At 38.7% G+C, this 22,362-nt stretch overlaps 1 protein-coding gene across 5 annotated transcripts in view; it reads left to right on the plus strand.

The window, feature by feature from the left end:
• The window catches only part of DAAM1 (dishevelled associated activator of morphogenesis 1), a 182,739-nt gene that overhangs the window by 87,766 nt on the left and 72,611 nt on the right, over window positions 1-22,362 (plus strand). For all 5 annotated transcript variants that reach the window (XM_005267431.2, XM_047431135.1, XM_005267430.3 and 2 more), the window contains one exon: window positions 14,785-14,874. In XM_005267431.2, the coding sequence (XP_005267488.1) occupies window positions 14,785-14,874 (90 nt within the window). The remainder of the gene's footprint in view (window positions 1-14,784; window positions 14,875-22,362) is intronic.

Raw genomic sequence — 22,362 nt, forward strand, 5'->3', positions numbered from 1 at the left:
GACTTGAGGTCTGCTTAGGTGCCTCTCCAGGGGCTTAACTTATTTCTGGTAGTGTTGAGTTGTGGGGTGGGAGGAGAGGGTTAAACTCAGAAAAGGCACTGCTAATGTTGAGTGTATCCTTGAGATGAACTGAAGGCTTGCAGCCTGCTGGGCTTGTGGGAAACCCTTTCTGGGTGGAGTTAGGATAGGTGAATTGGGGCTGTTTATTCTGGACAAATATCTGAGGTATCTAATTTGAAAAATAAAAGTTAGACTTGTCTGAGTAAGAAAATGGTTGGTAATTCTGTGAACTCTGTACATTGAGTCAGATGGACAGGTACCTTATCAAGGACCATTAAAAAGCAAAACAAAAGAAAACAAAAAACAAAACCCCCAAACACAATCACATACAAATAGCGAGTTGATTGGCAGGCTAACCTCAAGGGCCTGTCTTAGCTTCTTTCTCTCGTTTTTCTTAGTCCTCCTGCCCATTCCCCCACCTCAATCATTATTTGAATGTCCTCAGACCTTATCTAAATATATATTTGTATGTATGTAAAGAGTTAGTTAACTCATTAGAAATAGATATCCTGAATTTCTTAGTGACTTCTCTTATTAGCCAAAAACTTGTATTTTATCTCATTGAAATCTATTGATTAGGTAGATTTTCAAATAATAAATGCTTTAGATATTGCTTTAGAGGTTTTATAAATGATCCCATATTTCAGTTTAGCTAAAATCTCTGAAAAGAGCTTTTTCTTCCAAAGTGTTAGTCTTTCAACTCATTCAAGACCCTTATTGTATATTATTTCAAAATTCCTTCCCTTGCTTTATCTAGCAAATGAATCCATTTCCTTCGATTGATTTGTAGCATGCCAATTGTTTTCTGATTTATGTAGGTTTCTCTACAGAACTGCCTGCTTATTCTACAGTGTGGAATTGGTAAGGTTTCTTTGTACAGAATCTCTTAGAAGTGGGGCTTAATAATGCACTTTGTTACGGATGAAGCCTAGAACTTTAGTTCCCACAGCTGGGCTTCCCTCAGAGGTCCTTTCTTCTTAATAATAAAAAAAAATCTTTTCTCCAAAATATTATAAATATGTAAAATATATAAATATATAAAAGTATAATTAATATCATCTCCAAGAAGAAGAGCCTTTTAATCTGTTGGTTTTAGTTTTTGAGAAACTAAAACTTTCTCTGGAGAGGCATGATGCTTGATGCAAAGGTTTCTCCTTTTATCTCTTGCTTAATCATTTTCCTTTGACTTTTAAAACTCTATCCATAGAGAATAACATGAAAAAAAAATTCTCTGACCAATGAAAGGAGCTCGGCCACCCAAGTCTAAGATGTAGTAAGATTTAGATTCTATACTCAACTAGGGTGCTTCCTGGGGTTTGAGTAATTACATCTGTTTGTAATCATAGTGAAAAACCTGGCTGTTAACTCACAGATGATCTGGTACAGTAGTCCTCCCTTACCAGCAGGGGATATGGCCCATCTAAAACCCTCCCCTCCCCTGTGGATGCCTGAAACCACAGATAGTACTGAACGCTATATATACTATGTTTTTTTCCTATACATATATATCTATGTTAAACTTTATAAATTAGGCATAGTAAGGGATTCACAACAATAACTAATAATAAAATAGAACAGTTATAACAATAGGTTGTAATAAATGTTAATGTGAATGTGGTCTCCTCCTCTCTTAAAATATCTTACTGTACTCACCCTTCTTTTGGTGATGATGTGAAATGATAAAATGCCTGTGTGATCAGATGAAGTGAGGTGAATGACATAGGCATCACGAGGTAGTGTTAGCCTACTATTGACCTTGAGATGAAATGTCAGGAGGAAGATCATCTGCTGCGGGTGAACCTGGCTCATGGAACCATGAGGATGCTGATGGTTAGATATTCATGACTAATGAGCAAGGAATGTATACAGCCTGAATATGCTGGACAAAGGGTGATTCATGGCCTGCACAGGACTAAGTGAGATTTCATTGCAATACCCAGAATGACACACAATTTTAAACTTAGGAATTTTTTATTTCTGGAATTTATTCTTTTAGAATTCTTAATTTATACTTTTGGACCACAGTTGGCTAGAGGTAACTGAAATGGCAGAAAGTGAATTCAGAATTCAGAGAATAAGAGGACACTACTATACTTTTCTGTAGAGTCAGTATTAGGGGGAAAAACAAACTGAAAAGGTTCTTAAGGACTTCTTGTTAATATTAACATATCACTTAATTACAAAGGGACCTTGGGGAAAACATTGCCTGTTGCTTGGCCTAAATGGAATACACACTAATATAATTTATGTAACTTTCAAAGAAAGGATAAGAATATTTTAAGGAAGTGATCTTTGATTTCAAAGGAATGCTGTGTCTGAAACTGTAACATTTCCCAGATTGAGCTACTTACTTTAAAGGAGTACACAGTTTTCTTTCCTCCTTCTTCATACACTTCTTTCCAATCAGTTTCTCTTTTAAGCCAACTCCTTGGTTTATCTAATGTTCAAACAGAATTTTCTTTTCTTACTATGTATATACAAAGCTGTATTTTTTCTACTTTGTCTATATAGAATTTTTTGTTTGTTTTCCTGGGGCTCCAACAAGCAGGCTTGATTTTTTTTGACAGCTTTATTGAGGGATAATTTATATGTCATAGAATTCACCTCTTGTAATTGTACAGTTTGAGTTTTAATAAATGTTTATAGTTGTTAACCATCACCGCCATAGTTTATAACACTTCCAGCATCCCATCTCCCCTTGTGCCCATTTGCAGTCATCCCTGCCCTTGCCTCTAGGCCCCAGACAATCATCCGCTTTCTGGCTCTGTAGATCTACTTTTTCTAAGAAATTCATGTTAAGAGATACTATTGAGATACAGTGATACTAATTGCTTTATTTTTCATGAATGCTTCCTTTAGAATTTAATTACCAAAATGAAAAATCTCCTGAAATGTTACCTTGAAGTAATTTGAAGAATGATTTTCAAATTGTTTTGTATCCATTATTTTTTCCTTCTCCCATCAACTTTGCTTTCATTGCCCTTCTTGCCCAGCAGCCTATCTAAATGAATATGCATAGTTAGAAGAGACAATGCAAAAACAATCCAGCTGTTTTGTAACTAAAGAAATACTGTGTGTTATCCAGAAGTAGGGTCTGTGAGAGGGACTGGAGATTCAAACATAGAAGCTAAAACTAAAACCGTACAGCTTCCAGAAGAAACCATACAATTTTTTTTTACCTGTAAGTTGTAGAATTTCTTAGAGAAGATTTACAATCATTAACTATATTTTAAAAATTGATAAATTAGACTTCATTAAAATTTTAAAAAACACGTGGTGATCAAAATATTAACAAAATGAGAAGGCAAGCCACAGGCTAGGAGAAATATTCTTAATATATACCTCTGGCAAAGGACATGTTTCCAGGATATATAAAGAATTACTTTAAATCAGTAAAAATAAGACAGGTAACTCAATAAAAATGGGCAAAAGATTTGAACAAACATTTCACAAAAGAACATGTATGAATGGCCAGTAAACATGTGAAAAGTTATATTTAGCACCAGTTGTCATTAGGAAAACGTAAACTAAAACTGCATTGAGATCGTACTTAACAGAAACTAGAAGAGCTAAAATTTAAAAAAACAGCACCAAGTGTTGATGAGAATGTGGAGTAACTGGAACTGCCGTGTATTGCTGACATGAGTATAAGATGGTACCACTAGATTCTAAGGTGTTAAGTGTTACTTCAATGTATACCTTTGCCAAACTCAAAAACTGTATACTTAACATGTGTACATTTCACTGTATGTGCATTTCACCTCAAATAATAGGCTTTAATCTTTAAAATGCATTGGGCATGTGCCATGGCCCATGCCTGTAATCTCAGCACTTTGGGAGGCTGAGGCTGGAGGATGACTTGAGCACAGGAGGTCAAGGTTACAGTGAGCTATGATCACACCACTGCACTCCAGCCTGGATGACAGAGAGAGACCCTATCTCTAAACAATAAAATAATCAAATAATCCTCACTATATCTTGAAATATCCCTTCCCTTCCTCCCTCCCAGCTTCCCCATCTTCTCTACTTTCTGCACACCTTCCTTTTTTTTTTTTTTTTTTTTTTTCATTTCTGCTATGTCAGACTGCTTTTAAGTACTGATGCAAAGATGAATAGAACAAATTGAGTTCGCGTCTTTTGGGAACGAGTTCACAATGAGAGTCAGACGTACCAATAACATATAGCAATGTGATAAATTCCACAAAGTACAGAGGAGCTACTCATCCCCAGAAAGGCAGGATAGGCTACCTGGAGGGAATAGCTGATGCCTTGTAAAAGCTTATATGAATAGGATTGCCTCTTAGACATGGTGGGCCCTTGGAAAAGGGGAACAGCATGTGCAAACTTTCAGAAGTTGGCAACTTGTGATCAGAGGTAATAGTTTTAAGTGCTATCATTTTTTCTAAGAAAAAGGGCATGAGTTACTGTTATTGTTTTTATTTTCTCTCCTCCTCTCCCCTTTCCCTCTGTTCCCTGTTTCCTATTAGCCCTTCAGAATGCAAATATAACCTGTCACCTTCCCCTCACCAGACATTTCCTGCAGGATGAGTTCTTCTTACTGTCTGTCCCAAGACAGATTTCTCTGCAAGAGTTGACAGTCGACTTGCAAACCAAAACATACCTGCTATGGAACGTTCACCTCTAGGGAATAACGTTAGATCTTCCACCCTCGGGGGGTTGCCTCAGGACTTTCATCTACCAGGAGGACATATCAAAAGTATGCCGGCTTGGCCACTTTTACAACTTATTTCTGCTCAGAAAGGCACCAACTCAACTGTTCAGTAGATAAGACACCAGGCTAGCAGGGGGACCCCTTGCCCTTGCTCACTACCCCCTTACCTTATAAAGATGTCTGTTTTCTGCTCCAAAGGTGAAGTGGCGTATTTAAAGGCAGGACGCTTTGTGCCCCTTCCCCAAGCTAGCTTTGGAGTAAATTCACTTGCCTTGTATCAGACCTTACTCTTGTTAATTGGACTTCGCATGCAGTGAGCAATTAACCTGCTTTTTGGATACACTAGAAGGTGCTGCTGTTGGAGGAGGAGGAGGAGGAGGAGGAGGAGGGGAGGTGGGAAGGTCAGCAAAAGCCATGTCATGAAGGGACCTTTACCTGCTAAGGAATTTGGACTTTATCTTGGAAAGAATGGGAACCTGTAAAGCTTTCTATCACCTTGTCTTCCTAACTAGATTATAAATTCCTTGAAATCAGGATCTGTTATTCATCTTTGTATTCTTTATAACGTCTGGCCCTGGTCCTGGAATGGGTAGGACAGTGAGTAAGTGTTGATTGATCTTGTAAGGCTGTGATAGTTTCTTAGAGTCCTGCCTGCTTGATTCAGCCATATTATGAAATCAAAATGAGTCAGAGCAGAGATACTTTTGGAATGGAGGGGTAGGGATCTTATTATTATTATACCCTGGTCATTGTGCCTAGGCTCTCCCAGTTATTATCGAATTTAATCTGTGTAACTCTCCTCACTCAGAATCCACTAATCCAGATTGCTCATAGGATAAAGAATTAAGTTCACAGTGGCTTTCAAGGCTGCTGTTCATTGTCTGCAGTGCTTTCTACCTCTTTACTTCTTATGTACCTCTAAGCTCTGTATATTTCCTGGGGAAAGCCTTCACTGTCCCACCTTTCCCCATAACAAGTGGGCTCTCAGAACTCAACTTAGTGTGTAACATGTTCCCTCATAATGGAATTTTCCGTAAAAAACCCTCATTGCTTCCCTGATTGTTCATTGTGTTGATCATTCTTGAGTTAGTGTGACTATTTGATTTCCCCTCCATCTGCATGAGGATTGAGCTCCATGATAGCTTTTTGAACCCTGTGCCTATCACAATGCCTGGAATTTAATAGATAGATATTCAACAACATTTTTTTGATAGATGACTATCAGGAATATATGACTATTCTGTCTTCAGATGAAGAAATTGAAGTTCAGAGGCTGAGTCACTTGTGCAAGGTTACGTAAGCCATAAAGCCAGATGTGGAACTCAGGGATATCTGATAACAAATCCCACTCTTTTTGCTAAGAGACACTCAGTAGATGGATGCATTTTGATGTTTGTATCAGTGTCGTGATTTTGCCTACCTGTGTTGACAGAATGAACAGTGTGGTGGTGAAGAACATGGGCTGTGTAACCAGACAGTCTAGACTCGAGTTCTTCCTCCACTGTTTACCAGCTTTGTTGCCTTGAGCAAGCTACTTAATCCTCTCTGACTCAGTTTTCTGGAAAACAGTATAATAATATGACCTACTTTATAGGATTGTTGTAAGGATACACTATATTCATCAATATAAAACACTACTATTAAGAACATAGAAAGTGCTCAATAATTGTTAGCTATTACTATTAGCAGTACCCATTTATTCCTTTCCATTTTCTTACTGTAATCCAAAATCATATGCAGAGACCCTACAGTAATTTTTTTTTGCTCAGTGAAAATTATCTTCCTGCATGAAATACCTGCCCCTAATTCCTAGTTCATATGTGTTCTTTCAATTCAGAATTGGTCATTTCTGCATCTCAGCAGAAGCAGAAGTTATCTACCTGTGACAGCAAAACATATTAAAACCCTTTGCTTTGAATTTCTAGGTTTTAGGAATCACATGTTTCTTCACACCTCTGCTCAGTTAACAAAAACTGTGCTGTAGTGAAGTAAAGGATGCACTCTTAATAGTACAGTTCTCTCTCACACAAACCAAATGTTACCCCCAAAACTAAGCAAGTTACTATTGAACTGTTTGAATAATTGACCTGATTGTTGAGAAGTGATTTATGTCACCATTATTTTCCCATTCATCAATAGTTAAGTGCAGGTATGAATAACAGGAAATTAAAAAGGAAGAAAAATAATTACTTCACATATATAATAGCTGTATGCCAAAATTCTAACATTTTAAACATGTTCCCTCATAATGGAATTTTCTGTAAAAAATCCCTCATTGCTTCTCTGGTTGTTCATTGTGTTGAAATTCTTAATAGCTAGTTTTTGTGGTTAGGGAGTAATACTGTATGTGTGTGTTTTTGTGATGTAACTGTTTACCTTGCCCTTGAAAGTAGCAATTGATTTGTGTTTAAATGATGAAATAACAACAGTACAGTTGCCACCTCTGTGTCAGGCATTACTGCATGCTTAGTTGATTTGCCAATCCTCACAACAGCCTTGCAAGAGAAATGATGTACCTCTCCTGGAGATGAGGATATAGAGGCTTAAAAAGATCATGAACTTCCCAAAGGAACTAGCATATTTTAGGCCATGACTAGGCACTGGAGGTGTGGGTGTTAACAAGATACTGTGTAAGGTGATAACTAGAAGCAAGCCTGGCAAACTCAGTTGGGATTATAAATGGAAGACATCAAAGACAGGCCGATGAGTGGAGAATTAATTTTGCAGGCAATGTGGAACTAATAAAGTTTTTTGAACTGGGAGCTCAAAACAGCACAGGTGCTCCATTTTTAAGGCAGTGGTTCTAAAATGTGGTCTTAGGACCAGCAGCAACACCTGGGAACTTACTGAAAATGCAGTGTCGTGTACCTTTTCCTCCCTGTTCAATCCTAAATGCTGGATGATAAGTGATTTAAGGAACCTTCCTGGTGATTCTGATGCTTGCTCATGTTTGAGAACCACTTCTTTAGGAGAAATCTGGCCATGTTCAGCAGAATTGGAAAGACAAAGAGGAACACTGGGAGGCTATAGCCAGAAGCCAAGGAGAGGTTATTAGGACATAAGTGTTCGTGGTTTCAGTGAGAATGAAAGGGAAAATCAAAGGGGAAAAAAATGAGGTTTTTCAGGGAAGAAATAACAGGACTTGATGACTAAATAGAGGTGGGAATATAAGATGTGAAGTCAGTATCCTAAGCCTACATGTCCATGAGTATTATAGAACTGCAGATATATGCAAGAGCCATTCAGAGGGGGACTTTTAAAATATTCCTTGGAGATCTAAATCTTACTGTGTTTAATTTACATATTTTATTGAAATGGCTAAAATGTCAGATGTAGAATTTCAGAATCTGATGGCAAGGAAGCTCATTTAGATACAAGAGAAGGTTGAAACCCAATCCAAGGAAAACAGTAAAATGATCCTGGAGTTGAAAGATGAAATAACCATTTTTAAGAAAGAACCAAACTGAACTTCTGGAAATAAAAAAATCACTACAGGAATTTCAAAATACAATTGGAAGCATTAACAACAGAATAGACCAAACTGAGGAAGGAATCTCAGAGCTTGAATACCATTCCTTTGAAGTAACACAGGCAGACAAAAATAAAGAATGAAAGAATGTAAAAAAAGAATGAAACTTCAAAAATATGGGATTATGTGAATGCCTGTATTTATTGGCATTTCAGAAAGAAAAGAGAGATCAAGCAACTTGGAAAATATATTTGAGGATGTAGTCAACGAAAATTTCCCCAGTCTCACTAGAGGGGTTGACGTGCAAATTCAAGAAATTCAGAGAACTCCTATGAGAAACTATGCAGGGTAACCATCCCTAAGACACATAGTCATCAGATTCTCCAAGGTCAATGAAAAAGAAAAATCTTAAAGGCAGCTAGAGAGAAGGGGAAGGTCACTTACAAAGGAAACCCCATCAAGCTAACAGTGGACCTTTCGGCAGAAACCTTATAAGCCAGAAGAGATTCAGGGACTATTTTCAATATCCTTAAAGAAAAGAAATTCCAACCAAGAATTTCATATCCTGCGAAACTAAGCTTCATAAAGTGAAGGAGAAACAAAATCGTTTTCAGACAAGCAAATGCTAAGGGAACTTGTTGCAATTAGACCTGCGTTACAAGATCTACTAAAGGGAGTGCTAAATATGGAAATGAAAGAACAATACCTGCCATGATAATGAAGTCTACATATGCACATACAATCAAGTCTACATAACAACCAGCTAACGGCACAATGAAAGGATCAAATCCTCACATATTAATATGGATTCTGAATGTAAACAGGCTAAATGTCCCGCTCAAAAGGCATGGAGTAGCAATTTGGATAAAGAAGCAAGACCCACTGTCTGCTGCCTTCAAGAGACCCATCTCACAAGTAATGGTGCTGATAGGCTCAAAGTAAAAGAAGTGTCAGGAAAGTGGAAAACAAAAAAGAACATGGGTTGCTATTCTTGTATCTGATAAAACAGATTTTAAACCAACAATGATCAAAAAGGACAAAGAAAGGCATTGCATAATGATAAAGGGCCCAAGCCAACAAGAAGACTTAACTATCCTAAATATATACATACCCAATATTGGAGCACCCAGATTCATAAAACAGGATTTTAGAGACCTACAAGAGATTTAGAGAACCAAACAGTGATACTGGGGGACTTCAACACCCTACCAACAGTGTTAAACAGATCATTGAGGCAGAAAACTAACAGAGATATTCTAGACTTAAACTCAGTGCTTGGCCAATTGGACCTAATAGACATCTACAGAACACTCCATCCAACAACAATAGAATATATATTTTGCTCATCTCACATGGCACATACTCTAAGATCAACCACATATTCAGCCATAAAACAAATCTCAGCAAATTCAGAAAAATCAAAATCATACCAATCACACTCTTTGACCACAGTGGAATAAAAATGGAAATCAATACCAAGAAGATCTATCAAAACCATAAAAATCACATGGAAGTTAAACAACCTGCTCCTGAAAGACTTTTGGGTAAAGAATGAAATTAAGGCAAAAGTATAAAAATTTTTTTTTAAATCCTTGAAATTAATGACGACAAAGACAAAATATACCAGAATTTTTGGGACATAGCTAAAGCAGGGTTAAGAAGAAAGTCTGTTGTGCTAAACACCTACATCAAAAAGTTAGATCTCAAATTAACCTAATGATGCACCTACAGGAACTAGAAAAACAAGAGCAAGTCAACTCCAAAGCTAGCAGGAGAAAAGAAATAACCAAAATCAGAGCTAAACTGAATGAAATTGAGATGTGAAAATTCATACAAAAAGTCAGCAAACCAAAAATTTAATCTTTCTTGGAAAGATTAAACAAGATTTATAGACTGCTAGCTAGATTAATAAGGGAAAAAGCAGAGAAAATCTAAATAAACACAGTCAGAAATGACAAAGGTAACATTACAACTGACCCCACGGAAACAAACAAAAAAATCCTTAGAGACTGTTACGAACACCTCTGTGCACACAAACAAGGTGTTTAAGAAATGGATACATTCCCAGAAACACACAGCCTCCCAAGTTTGAACCAGGAAGAAATTTAAGTCATGAACAGACCAATAATGAGTTCTGAAATTAAATCAGTAATACAAAAAAATACCTACCAACCAGAAAAAAGCCCTGGACTAGATAGATTCACAGCTGAATTCTACCAGATATATGAAGAAGAGCTAGTACCAATCCTACTGAAATTATTCCAAAAATTCAAAGAGAAGGGACTCCTCCCTAACTCTCTAAAACCAGCATCACCCTGATACCAAAGACTGGCAGAGACACAAGAAAAAAAGAGAAAAATTCAGGCTAATATCTCTGATGAAGGTAGATGCAAGAATCCTCAGCAAAGTACTAGCTAACCAAATCCAGCAGCACATCAAAAAGTTAATTCACCACAATCAAGTAGGCTTTATTCCTGATATGCAAAGTTGGTTTAACATATGCCAATCAATAAACGTGATTCACCACATAAACAGAATAATAAAAACCTTTGATCATCTCTATAGATGCAGAAGAGGCCTTTGATAAAATTCAGCATCCCTTCATGTTAAAAAAAATCTTCAACAAATTAGGCATCAAAGGAACATACCTCAAAATAGCAAGAGCCATCTATGACAAACCCACAGCCAGCATCATACTGAATGGACAAAAGCTGGAAGCCTTCCCTTTGAGAACTAGAATAAGACAAGTATGCCCATTCTCACCACTTCTATGCAACGTGGTATTGGAATTGCTAGCCAGAGCAAATAAGCAAGAGAAAGAAATAAAAGGCTTCAAAATAAGAGAGGAAGTCAAACTGTGTCTCTTTATGATGTGTTTCTATACCTAGAAAACCCCATAGACTCTGCCAGAAGGTTTCTAGAACTGATAAACAACTTTAGTACAGTTACAGGATGCAAAACCAATGTGGAAAAATCAGTAGCATTTTTATACACCAATAACATTCAAGTTCAGACCTACATAAAGAACAAAATTCCACTTACAATAGCTTCAAAAAGAATAAAATACCTAGGAATATGCTTATCAAAGAAGTGAAAGATCTCTACAATGAGAATTACACTGCAGAAAGAAATCAGAGGCAACATAAACAAATGGAAAAACATTCCCTGCTCATGGATAGGAAGAATCAATATTGTTAAAATGACCATACTGCCCAAAGCAATTTACAGAGTCAATGCTATTCCTGTCAAACTGCCAATGTCATTTTTCACAGAATTAGAAAAAAGTAACCTAAAATTCATATAGAACCAAAGAGGAGCACGGACCATCAAAGCAATCCTAAGCAAAAAGAACAAAGCCGGGGGCATCACACCAACCAACTTCAAACTATACAGCAAGGCTACAAAAACCAAAACATCATGGTACTGGTATAAAAACAGACACATAAACCAATGGAACAGCATGGAGAACCCAGAAATGAAGCCACACACCTACAACCACCTGATCTCTAACAAAGTTGACAATAACAAACAGTAAAGAAAGGACATCCTATTCAATAAATGGTGGTAGGATAACTGTCTAGCCATAGGCAGAAGATTGAAATTGGACCCCTTTCTTTCACATAAGCAAAAATTAACTCAAGATAGATTGAAGACTTAACTGTAAGACCTAAAACAATGAAAACCCTAGAGGAAAACCTAGGAAATACCATTCTGCACATCAGCTTTGGCAAAGAATTTCTGACTAAGTCTCTAAAAGAAATGGGAACAAAAACAAAAATTGACAAGTGGGACCTGATTAAACAGTTTCTCCACAGCAAAAGACTGTCAAGAGAGTAAATAGACACCCTGCAGAATCAGAGACAATATTTGCAAAGTGTGCATCTGACAAAGGTCTAATATCCAGAATCTACAAGAAATCAGCAAGCAAAAAACAACCCAATGAAAAAATGGGCAAAAGACATTAAGAGACACTTCTGAAAAGAAGGCATGCATGCAACCAATATGAAAAAATGCTAATCACTGTACTACTCTGTTTTCATACTACTGCAAAGAACTACCTGAGACTGGGCAATTTACTAAGAAAAGAGGTTTAATTGACTCACAATTCTGCAGGCTTAACAGGAAGCATGACTGGGGGGCCTCAGGAAACTTACAATCATGGCAGAAGGGGAAGCAAGCACATTTTCCTGTGATAGCAGGAGAGAGAGAGAGAGAGAGAGAGAGAGAGCGCGCGAAGGGGGCAGTACCACACACTGTTGTTGTTTTTGTTTGTTTGTTTTTTTGTTGTTGTTTTTGTTTTTGAGATGAAGCCTTGGTCTGTCACCCAGGCTGGAGTGCAGTGGCACAATCTCCGCTCACTGCAACCTCCACCTCCAGGTTCAAGCGATTCTCCTTCCTCAGCCTCCTGAGTAGCTGGGACTACAGGCGTGTGCCACCACACCCAGCTAATCTTTTGTATTTTTAGTAGAGACAGGGTTTCACCATGTTGTCCAGGCTGGTCTTGATCTCCTGACCTCGTGATCTGCCCGCCTCGGCCTCCTAAAGTGCTGGGATTACAGGCATGAGCCACCACACCCGGCCCAACCACACACTTTTAAACCATCAGATCTAATAGGAACTCACTCGCTCATCACAAAAACAGTGAGGGGGAATCCACCCCCATAATCCAATAACCTCCCACCAGGCCCCTCCCCTGACACATGGGGATTACAGTTTGACATGAGATTTGGGTGGGGTTGCAGAGCCCAATCACATCAATTACTAATTATTAGAGAAATGCATATCAAAACCACAATGAGATATCATACCATCAGAATGGCTATTATTTAAAAGTCAAAGAACAACAGATGCTAGTGAGGTTACAGAGAAGAGGGAACAGTTATACACTGTTGGTAAGAATGCAAATTAGTTCAGCTACTGTGGAAAGCAGTGTGAAGATTTCTTAAAGAATTTAAAATAGAACTAGCATTTGACCCAACAAAATCCCACTATTGGGTATATATACAAAGCAAAATAAATTGTTCTCCCAAAAAGACATATGCACTTGTATGTTCATTGCAGCACTATTCACAATAGCAAAGACATGGAATCAACCAAGATGTTCATCAACAGTGGACTGGATCAACAAAATGTGATATATATATATATATAATGGAATGCTATGCAATCATAAAAGGAACAAGATCATGTCCCTTGCAGCAACACATATGCCGCTGGAGGCCAGCATCCTTAGTGAACCAGCCCAGAACAGAAAACGAAATATCGCATGTTCTCACTTATAAGTAAGAGCTAAACTTTGAAGACACGTGGACACAAAGATGGGGAAAATAGAACCTGGGGACTTGAACAGGGAAGGTGGTGGGGGTGTTGGCAGGAATGCTACCTTTCAGGTACTGTGCTCAGTACCTTAGTGATGGGATCATTTGTACACAAAGCCTCAGTGACATGCGAGTTACCTATGTAACAAACCTGCACATGTACCCCTGAACATAAAGTAAAAGTAGAAAAAAAATAAAAGACTGTGAATTAAGTTCTTGTTAAACACCAATAACTTTTTTCTAAGCTCTTTATATTCATGATTCCATTATGGTTATCCATTAGTTATTAACATTTATAAATTACCTTCCTTTAGGGTTCAGTCTAAGCAGTACACCACTATAAAGTTAACATTTCCAAACACTGATCTGAAAGGCTAAACATCTGGACTCTGGAGTTCAACAGTTCTAAGCTTAAAACACGACTCCACTATTTGCTAGGTGTGCAGTCTTGAATAACTGATGTGGCCAATCTTCAGCCTAAATTTTTGCAAGCTATATCAGTGTGGATGTAGTAATGAGTAGACCACTTGGGGTTGTTGTGAGAGGTACAGTAAATGAGAACATGCCTGCACATAATGTACTGAGTAAATATCAGTTAGTGTTTATGCAATGAGGGAGTCACTGCCTTGCCCAAAACTTCATTGCCTCAATTCATTCAAGAAAATAACCTCCTTACTCTGGCATTTAAAGCTTTCCGCTATTCACTCCCTACCTCTCCAGCCTTTAAACTGATGATCCTTTGCAGAAACCCAGTGCTTCCTGTAAGCTGACCATTGTCCCACATACACACTGTCTGTCACCACACTCGGCCTTTGTCTGTTTCTCCCCTCCTCATATCCAGGTTCTTCAGGGCCCAGCCTGTTAGTGTTTGTGAAGCCATCCCCAGCAAATCCTCATCTTTAACATGACCAATATTTCTAAACTCCTGAAGTTTGACAGCTTTTGCTGCTCAATGGACCATACTCAGCAGTAGACAGTAGCTCAGGATGGATAATTCTGTCTGTGCTTGGTCCACTCTCCCCTGACCTTTGTGACTGTAGGGCTGTGCCTCATCCCTCTTGCTGTGCCCCATGCCTAGCCCCCTGCCAGGGACATGCTTTCTTCTTGATGGAAAAACATACCTAACTTAGCTTCTTGATCTTTTTCAAGTTCATTTAAATATGTGTTTGTGTTTTTGTTTTTTTTCTTCCTTGATGATACTGATAACGTTCTCTACAGGAATAATGTTTATCCTATGAAACACTAATTATTTTCTTTCTTCTCAGGATGAACTGGACCTCACAGACAAACACAGAGAAGCCATGTTTGCACTTCCAGCTGAGAAAAAATGGCAAATATACTGTAGCAAGAAAAAGGTAAGATTTTCATTGTGATTATGGTTAACTGGAAAATAATCATTGATTCCATTTGCTCTTCCATTTCACCACTAGAATTGGACAGCTCTTTGTAATATGAAAACCAGATTGAATGTGTTATGTTGTGGCTGTGGTGCTACATGTAGCCAGTGTCAATTCCCTGGATGTTGTTTTTGTCAGTACTTCATTGGGCTCTTTTCCACCTGTAACCATCATTCATAATCATGTGTAACTGAAACCCAAAATAACGTTTGCTTACACAAGACAAATTCCCCCCAACCCTGCGCTTTACATACCAGTCTGTATACAGGTGGTCTAGAACCAGGTTTGGGGTCACAGCCCTCTAAAACCACCTTCTGACAACTTTCCATTTCATCATCTCTCTGGTGTAGCCCCATCCCATGCACCAAGGTGACTCTCCAGCCCCTTCATGTTCCAAACCAGCGATGGAAGAAAGGAAAGGAAGCACAGGCTCCTCCACTCCCACTTTGAGGGACACATTCCTGGAGTTACATGGCTGACTCTCTCTCGTATCCCACTGCTGGTTGCATGGCCACATCCACTGAAAGGACTAAAGTCTTTATTCTGGGCAGTCACTTCCCATTTAAGATCTAGGGGTTCTATTACCTCAAGAGATGGGGAGAATGGATATAGGGGACAGTGAAACACCAAAGCTCTTCTTATTCCCTAGTATCTGTGGCACCAGGCATCACTCCATGGTGACTGTATCTCCTGAAACAGAGTGCACTCTGCCAACTTTTAAACCCTGTAGCAGATTCTGAGGATATCCCTACACCCATTTTGGGGACTCCTTCTGTTCATGGCCACCTTTTGCCACTTTCTCTTCTGTTCCAACAGAGATTTAAACCAGAATGGGGTAGTGGGAAGGTCAAGGCTAGCACCTAGCTCTCCATCAGGCAGTGGACACTTTGATGACTCACTCTCGACCCAGGGAAACAGGAACAAACTATACAATAATCCAATATTTTTTCAAGACACCACTGTCAGGGAAGCCTTTTACTAGGTGAAACCAATATGCAGCTTGGGACCTCCATTGGCCCATGTGGCATCTCTCAGCACATCTGCCCCCCTTTGCTATCTTGTGTAATTGCCCTGTGCCACTCTCCTGGGAGCATCTTACATTACTCAATAAAGGGACTCTCTCTAGCAGTGAGCCTATGTGAGTGGCTCTCCACCTGACTTTATGCCTCTGATGAAGAGGCACCATGTCTTATCCATCTTTGTAACGCCAGCATCTGATACTTTGAAATGAATGCATGATGACTGAATCACTGCATTGTCATTAGTGTTACACTGAATACTGTCAAAAAATTTAAAGCACATTAATTTTCCAGCTGGGCAATTTTAATTGGTAGAACTATGTGTCAGATTCAGTTCTGGTGGCCTTTTCTGAGAAATGTGGTCAGCCTTAACCCCTCAGTATGATCTCTGAGCCTCTATCAGATTATTTCCAAACTAAAGCCTTAAGAGTTCTTAATCCAGTAGTAACCAGTAAAATGTCATTGTGAAATAAATGTCTTCCTCTCCTCTTCTGCCATTTCTCTTTGTATACATTGAACCAACTAGAAAACCTCTTTTTTATTGAACTGATTGTCATGGCTCAAGAAACAAATATAATACACTGAGAAGGAATTTTAAAATGGAATAAAATGTGCTCAGTTCTGAAACTGGTATTATATAGCCTTTGGAAACAAGGAAACTTTTCACACTGCCATCTTAAAAATCTGCTGCTAGAACCGAGAAAGAGAAATCCTCAAGTTGCGGGTATACACAGAGGACTTTGTCTATTTTGGCTCATCCTAGTGTAGATTCTTTCTGAAAATAAGGAAACAATACAAAGGAGGGATTGAGAATGTTCACTAGAGGAAAGAAAAGGGCAGGAAAATAGGAGCAGCTTACTGAAGGGAAAGTTTTCTTCTTTCCCAGATTTTATTACACCCTTGACAGCAATAGAAAGTTAATCATGGAAACTACTGCCCCTTAGATTAGAAAAGGCAAACCCTGGAGAATAGTAATGACCTCGGGCTTGCAGCTGCTGCTCATTTTTCAATTTCCACACCTATCGAATCCCCTTGAAAACCTCATCTCAAGTGTGCATGATGGGGGGTTTGCTTCTTGTAGGAGGATGGATATGGATGTGGTCACTGGCCTCAGAATCCCACTTTTTGACAGCTAGGCCTTTCTTATTAGTACCTGGCTGGATTGCACAGACCTTTGAGAATGCACTTCTCCTACTAGCTTCATTCCAACAGCTTGGCTTCCTTATATGACTTAGCAATCAGTGGGAAAGCCATTTTGACTCTTTAGGGAATCCCATGGGTTCTAGATTTGCCTCACTTTAAAATGGATGGTAGCATTGTTTCACCAAAGATTTTAATTTGAGCTTCTAACACTGTTAAAACTCTACTGTGCCTTTGGTCTGAAACTGAATTTTTGGTCACTGCAATAAATTGGGAAATACACAATGAATATGAGAACATGAAAACTGAACCAGGAGGAGGATATTATGTTTACCTCTCTTCAGAGAATGTAATTTCTTGAAGGACAGGTTGCCCATTCTCAGAATAGAGCCCCATAGTGGCCATCGTTAATATTAAGAACAGATTATTTTCCTTGGAACATCTCTCGCCTAGCCTTTTCAAATCAGGCTTATCACCAGCAAGCCAAGCCACATCCATTTCTCAGGCTGGAGGAAAGCTACACTCCCAGGGCTCTGTCACATTTCCCGTCTTTCAAGATTAGAATACAGGGCATTACAGACATTCTCACACATAGTAAAGTCATAGAGTAAGGGGCCACTGAAGCCAACCGAAACAGATGGCGTGAGTTGGTGAAAAGCAAACTTTCCATGTAAAAATGAACAGAAGTTGTGAAGGCCAATGAGCCTGGGACCTACAGACAGGGCCAAGCTTGGCTCAGCCCAGTGTCTGTTTCCCTGTCCAACAGCGACTTGAGTCCCGGCAGCAGCTATCTGCTTATCAAGCTCAGTGTTCATTTATGAAACTTCTCTATCTATATCTCTGGTTGAAAACCTATTTCCAGAGCCAAAATCAAAGCAGAAAATATTTCTCAGACTAAAACGATTCAAAAGAAGTTAATTGGAATTTTGTCTAATTGAGTAATCTTGGGGGAGCATAAGAGATGGATGTTGAGGCCTTGTTGAAAGTCCAAACAAATCTAAAACTTACCGGACTGGTTGGTCATCCTTGCTTTGTCATAGACAGCAATCCACTGTCATTTTTTTTTTTTTTACTTTCATGAAAGGTCCAAAAAGGGTTCTGTTAGTTGTGATGGGGTATTTTCAAATAGGAAATGTTTGTGGTTCTTATCTTTAAAGGTAATTCCCTTTTTTAGTTCCAATCACAACATACTCTTTTGTTTAAATGAGGTTTTTCCCAGTCTCTAGCCAGAAACTGCATCTGTTAACAATCTCTTGGATTTTAAACTGAAGCTTTTTAAACAATGAACCATCTGACCACAAAAAGGCGTCTGGCCATGCTGTATTTGCTTATTGTTAACATGATTTTTAAATCCTGGGAACAGTAAGGAGTAAGTCTTCAGAGAGGAGAAAATAAAGTGGGTGTATACATGTATTATGCTGACAGCAATCTTATCAGCACAGGAAGAAATCATCTTTAATTGCTGTTCTGCTCAGAAGCAAATGTACAAGTTGTGTCACTTAACCAGTCCTTATTAGTATCCAGAAAAATACTTGTACCCCTTCTTGGGCTTCAGAGTTTGCCAAGTAAGTAAATGGGAATATAGACACTGCTAGCTGTGATGACAGCAGATATTTGAGGCAAAGATCAGGATTTGATGATTGTGCCTAATTTTTCCTGCTTAGTTTCTGATCTCTAAAGCCAAGGCTTAAGTAAATGGTATTAGATTGTTCATATTACATTTCTGTATGTGTTGAGGTCTACTTTGGGGAAGGTGAATTTTTACTCTGCTGCTGAGTGTGTTTGATTCTAACTTAATTAAATCATTCAGTAATCTTGCCTGTCATGGCTGCAGCTCAGCTATCATGATTTCTGCAAACTGCTGATCTGGTGCTAGGTACATACTGAAGACATCTAAGGAAAGTGGCTGGAAGTTCAGCTAGTACTTTTCATTTATTCCTTAATTTGGTTTGTATACCCTGATTGGATCAATTCCTGACTCTTCCCCACAAAAAGAAATTCGTCCACCACACGTACAAAAAGATTAAAGTTGTATTGTGTGTGGCCATTGGGATGCAGTTCTTTCAGTTCCTGGAGAGCTGAAGCCCTCCTGTGTTTCCAGTGCTGGAGAGGCAGTAGCTTGATCAAAACACAGATTTACACAGATTTAAAGAAACACGTGTTAAAGTAGTGGAATTAAAGTCAAAAGAAACCATCCATTTTCTACACAAAGTAGCTGGAAAAGGAGGAGACGAGATGAGACATCGGTCTTCTAGTTCTTCCCAATATCTTTGTGAGAAAAGGGGTAAACTGGGAAGGGAAGCAGTGGCTGGGCACTGGGCCTGAAGATGTGAGAGGGAAGAGAAGTTAGATGTCTTCTTTCTTTTACTGTGGTTGATTAAATATACAGTAAAGTGAGCATTGGATTTCCAGGGACCCACTTTGCTAGGTGTTAAGATTTGGGAGAGGGAACCAGTAAAAGTAAAAAAACTAGACTTCAGTGACAGTATTACTAGACTTCTTCAGAAGTACCTGGTTTAGTCTTCTGCAATTGAGTTTTCAACTCCAGTGATGGGTTCAAACTGGCATTTCTGCTCTTATGTGATAAGAGCTTACAGAAAGTGGCAGAAGTAGCAATGATTAGAAAGAAATTTGTCTGCCTTTCCTCCCTACCTCTCTAAAGGCTATATAAGGGAAGCACAGTAGCTGCAGGACAACCAGCTTTCTAGACTCTGCAGGCTCTGAAATTATCTGTCTTATCTACATAGTCCCTGGCATTGAGAGATGAGGATTTGTGTATAAGCCCAGATTGAAACAGTAAGAAATAACAAGCTTGGAGTATCTGGTGTTTCACTCACCAAAGCAATGCAGTTGGTGAAGGGCAAGGCAAGTTAGTGTGTGATTTGTTTGATGTGTATTGAGTATCTTCTCTGGGGCAGAGAAAACTAGACAGAGAATCTAGACTCTTGGTTAGATTCTGAGGATTAAAAAAATAAGCCAAATTTCTTGGAGTGGATGGTCCTGGTAGGAGAAGCAGATAGAATCAAATAGTAATCAAATGTTGTCATAAGCTCCATAAAAGGGTAAGCAGACAGGCTCTGGGGCACAGAGGAAGGAGAAACCAACCTCTAGGAGTGTGTGTGTTTGACTGAGACAACCATTCTTTTACCACTTTGACCCACCATTGGTTACAGCAGTGAGAGTTGATGTTGTGCTTTGATCCCGTGATCTAGAAACTGGCTCCTTTTTCAACATTTGAGCTGTGTTCACATGCACTGTACACTTTCCTCTTTGATTTCTATTTTGTTTCTGTCCCTTTTGCCATTGCTTAAAAGGTCAAGTTTGGACGATTGACCAAATCTAATCTTTACTAAACACAATTTGTAGAGCCTGTTAGGAAATCTGTAAAAGGCTTGAACTTTTGAACAATGAAGTCAGTGCAGGGGAAGACTAAAATAATTGAGGCTTGTTTAGTCTGAGAAAGAGAGAGTAAGATGGAAACTCCAACACTGGCTGATGTTCAGTGGATATGCTCCAGTGAAACTGTATTACTGGTCAAAATATTACCAAATGCCAGTTGGTCAACAGGAGCTGCCCCAAGCCCTCCCAGTAAAAACCACCCTGCCAATCTGGCCCTTCTCCCAAGGGCCCACCATTCTTCCCCCATGATTCTAGGACTGAAGGGCTAACTCCTGGCATGGCACAGCCAGGAACTTTGCTGCCCTGTTCCCACATTGCATCACTGGTTCTTATTCATGGATGCCCTTGTTATACTGGTTGACCAACATTTTGAACATTGACCTGCAGATGTTTACCAAAGCCATTTGGTAACGTGTGTCCAGAGCTTGGAACATTCCTATTCCAGAAAGTGATAAGAGATGCAGAAGAGGAATTATGTGCGAGAATGTTTTTGGCAATGTTGTCTCTAAAAGCCAATGACTGTAAACAACTTAGAGGAGGATAGCTACACTATAGCCATAGTCATACTATGTATGCAGACAGCAGAGCATTTTGCAGCCAGTGAAAAGTCATGTTTCTAAAGAAATTTTAATGACATGGGAATCTGCTCAGTATGTAATGGCAAGATTTTTAAAAAGATACAGTAGTCTCCTCCCCTCCCTCCGTGGTTTTGCTTTCCGTGGTTTCACTTATCTGCAGTCAACTGAGATCCAAAAATAAGTGACTACAGGACAATAAGATATTTTGACAAAGAGAGAGACCGCACTCACATAACTTATATTACAGTCTATTGTCATTATTGTTCTCTTTTATTATTACTGTTGATAATCTCTTACTGTGCCTAATTTATAAATTAAATTTTATCATAGGTATGTATGTATGGAAAAACAGCGTATATAGGGTTCAGTACTATCCAATCTGAAGTTTCAGGCATCTACTGGGGGTCTTAGAATGTATCCCCCATAGATAAGGGGGGACTACTGTGTAAAACTTTGTAATTAGTATAATCAAATATCTGCCAAAGTGTATATAAAGAGGTAGGTGGACAGAAAAATAATTGTGAGCTTGGATTGTGGGTGATTCCAAATTTTATGAAGCATGTTATTCTCCCTCTTACCTTAAAATAGTTTTTTCTGGTTGCAAAAAATAAAATTGTTCTGTTTAAAAATTCATGCAATGTATTTTATATTAGGTTTTAGCCAGAGAAGCGGGACCACTGGGACATGGTCTGTTTCTCTGTCTCAATGGTTGTGGTTCAGCTTAGCCAACTTGAACCTTACAAAGCCACCACATATTTCCATTAAAATTAGGAGGAAAAAATAAATATTTAAAATGCAGCCAGTGCTTGTGTTGTCAAGACAATGTTGGCATATTTTTTCTTTGTCCAGCTCAATCTCTCTCTCTCATTGTCTCTCACTTTTTACTCTTCCCCAGAGGGAGTAAAATAAAGATTAATCCATAAACCACCCAGTTTTTTTAAGCACCGTTTACCTGTTTAGGCAATGACTCTGAAAACATAGTGGCCCTGATGAGATGCCCTCGGTTTTCTGCCCAGAAACCCACTGAGGGCATGTTTCTCATTGTCCTTGCATTCCTAAATGCTATAATCTCAAAGCTAGTGATCCATTTCCTTTCTTTATTTCCTTTTTATTGCAAAAAAGTCAGCACTATTAAAATGAACACCAAATTTTAGATTTGAAGTGTGAAATACTGTTCATTCAAAGATTCTCTGCCTCTGACAGTCAAATCAATGTTAGGTTATAGTCTAACAAAAGGCAATTGGTTTTTGAATATTTATTTGCCTCCTCTTCCTCTAATTCCTTTGTTTAATGATACCAGTGTTGGGTAT

The sequence above is a fragment of the Homo sapiens genome, chromosome 14 (assembly GCF_000001405.40).
Source record: "Homo sapiens chromosome 14, GRCh38.p14 Primary Assembly".
NCBI lineage: Eukaryota > Metazoa > Chordata > Mammalia > Primates > Hominidae > Homo > Homo sapiens.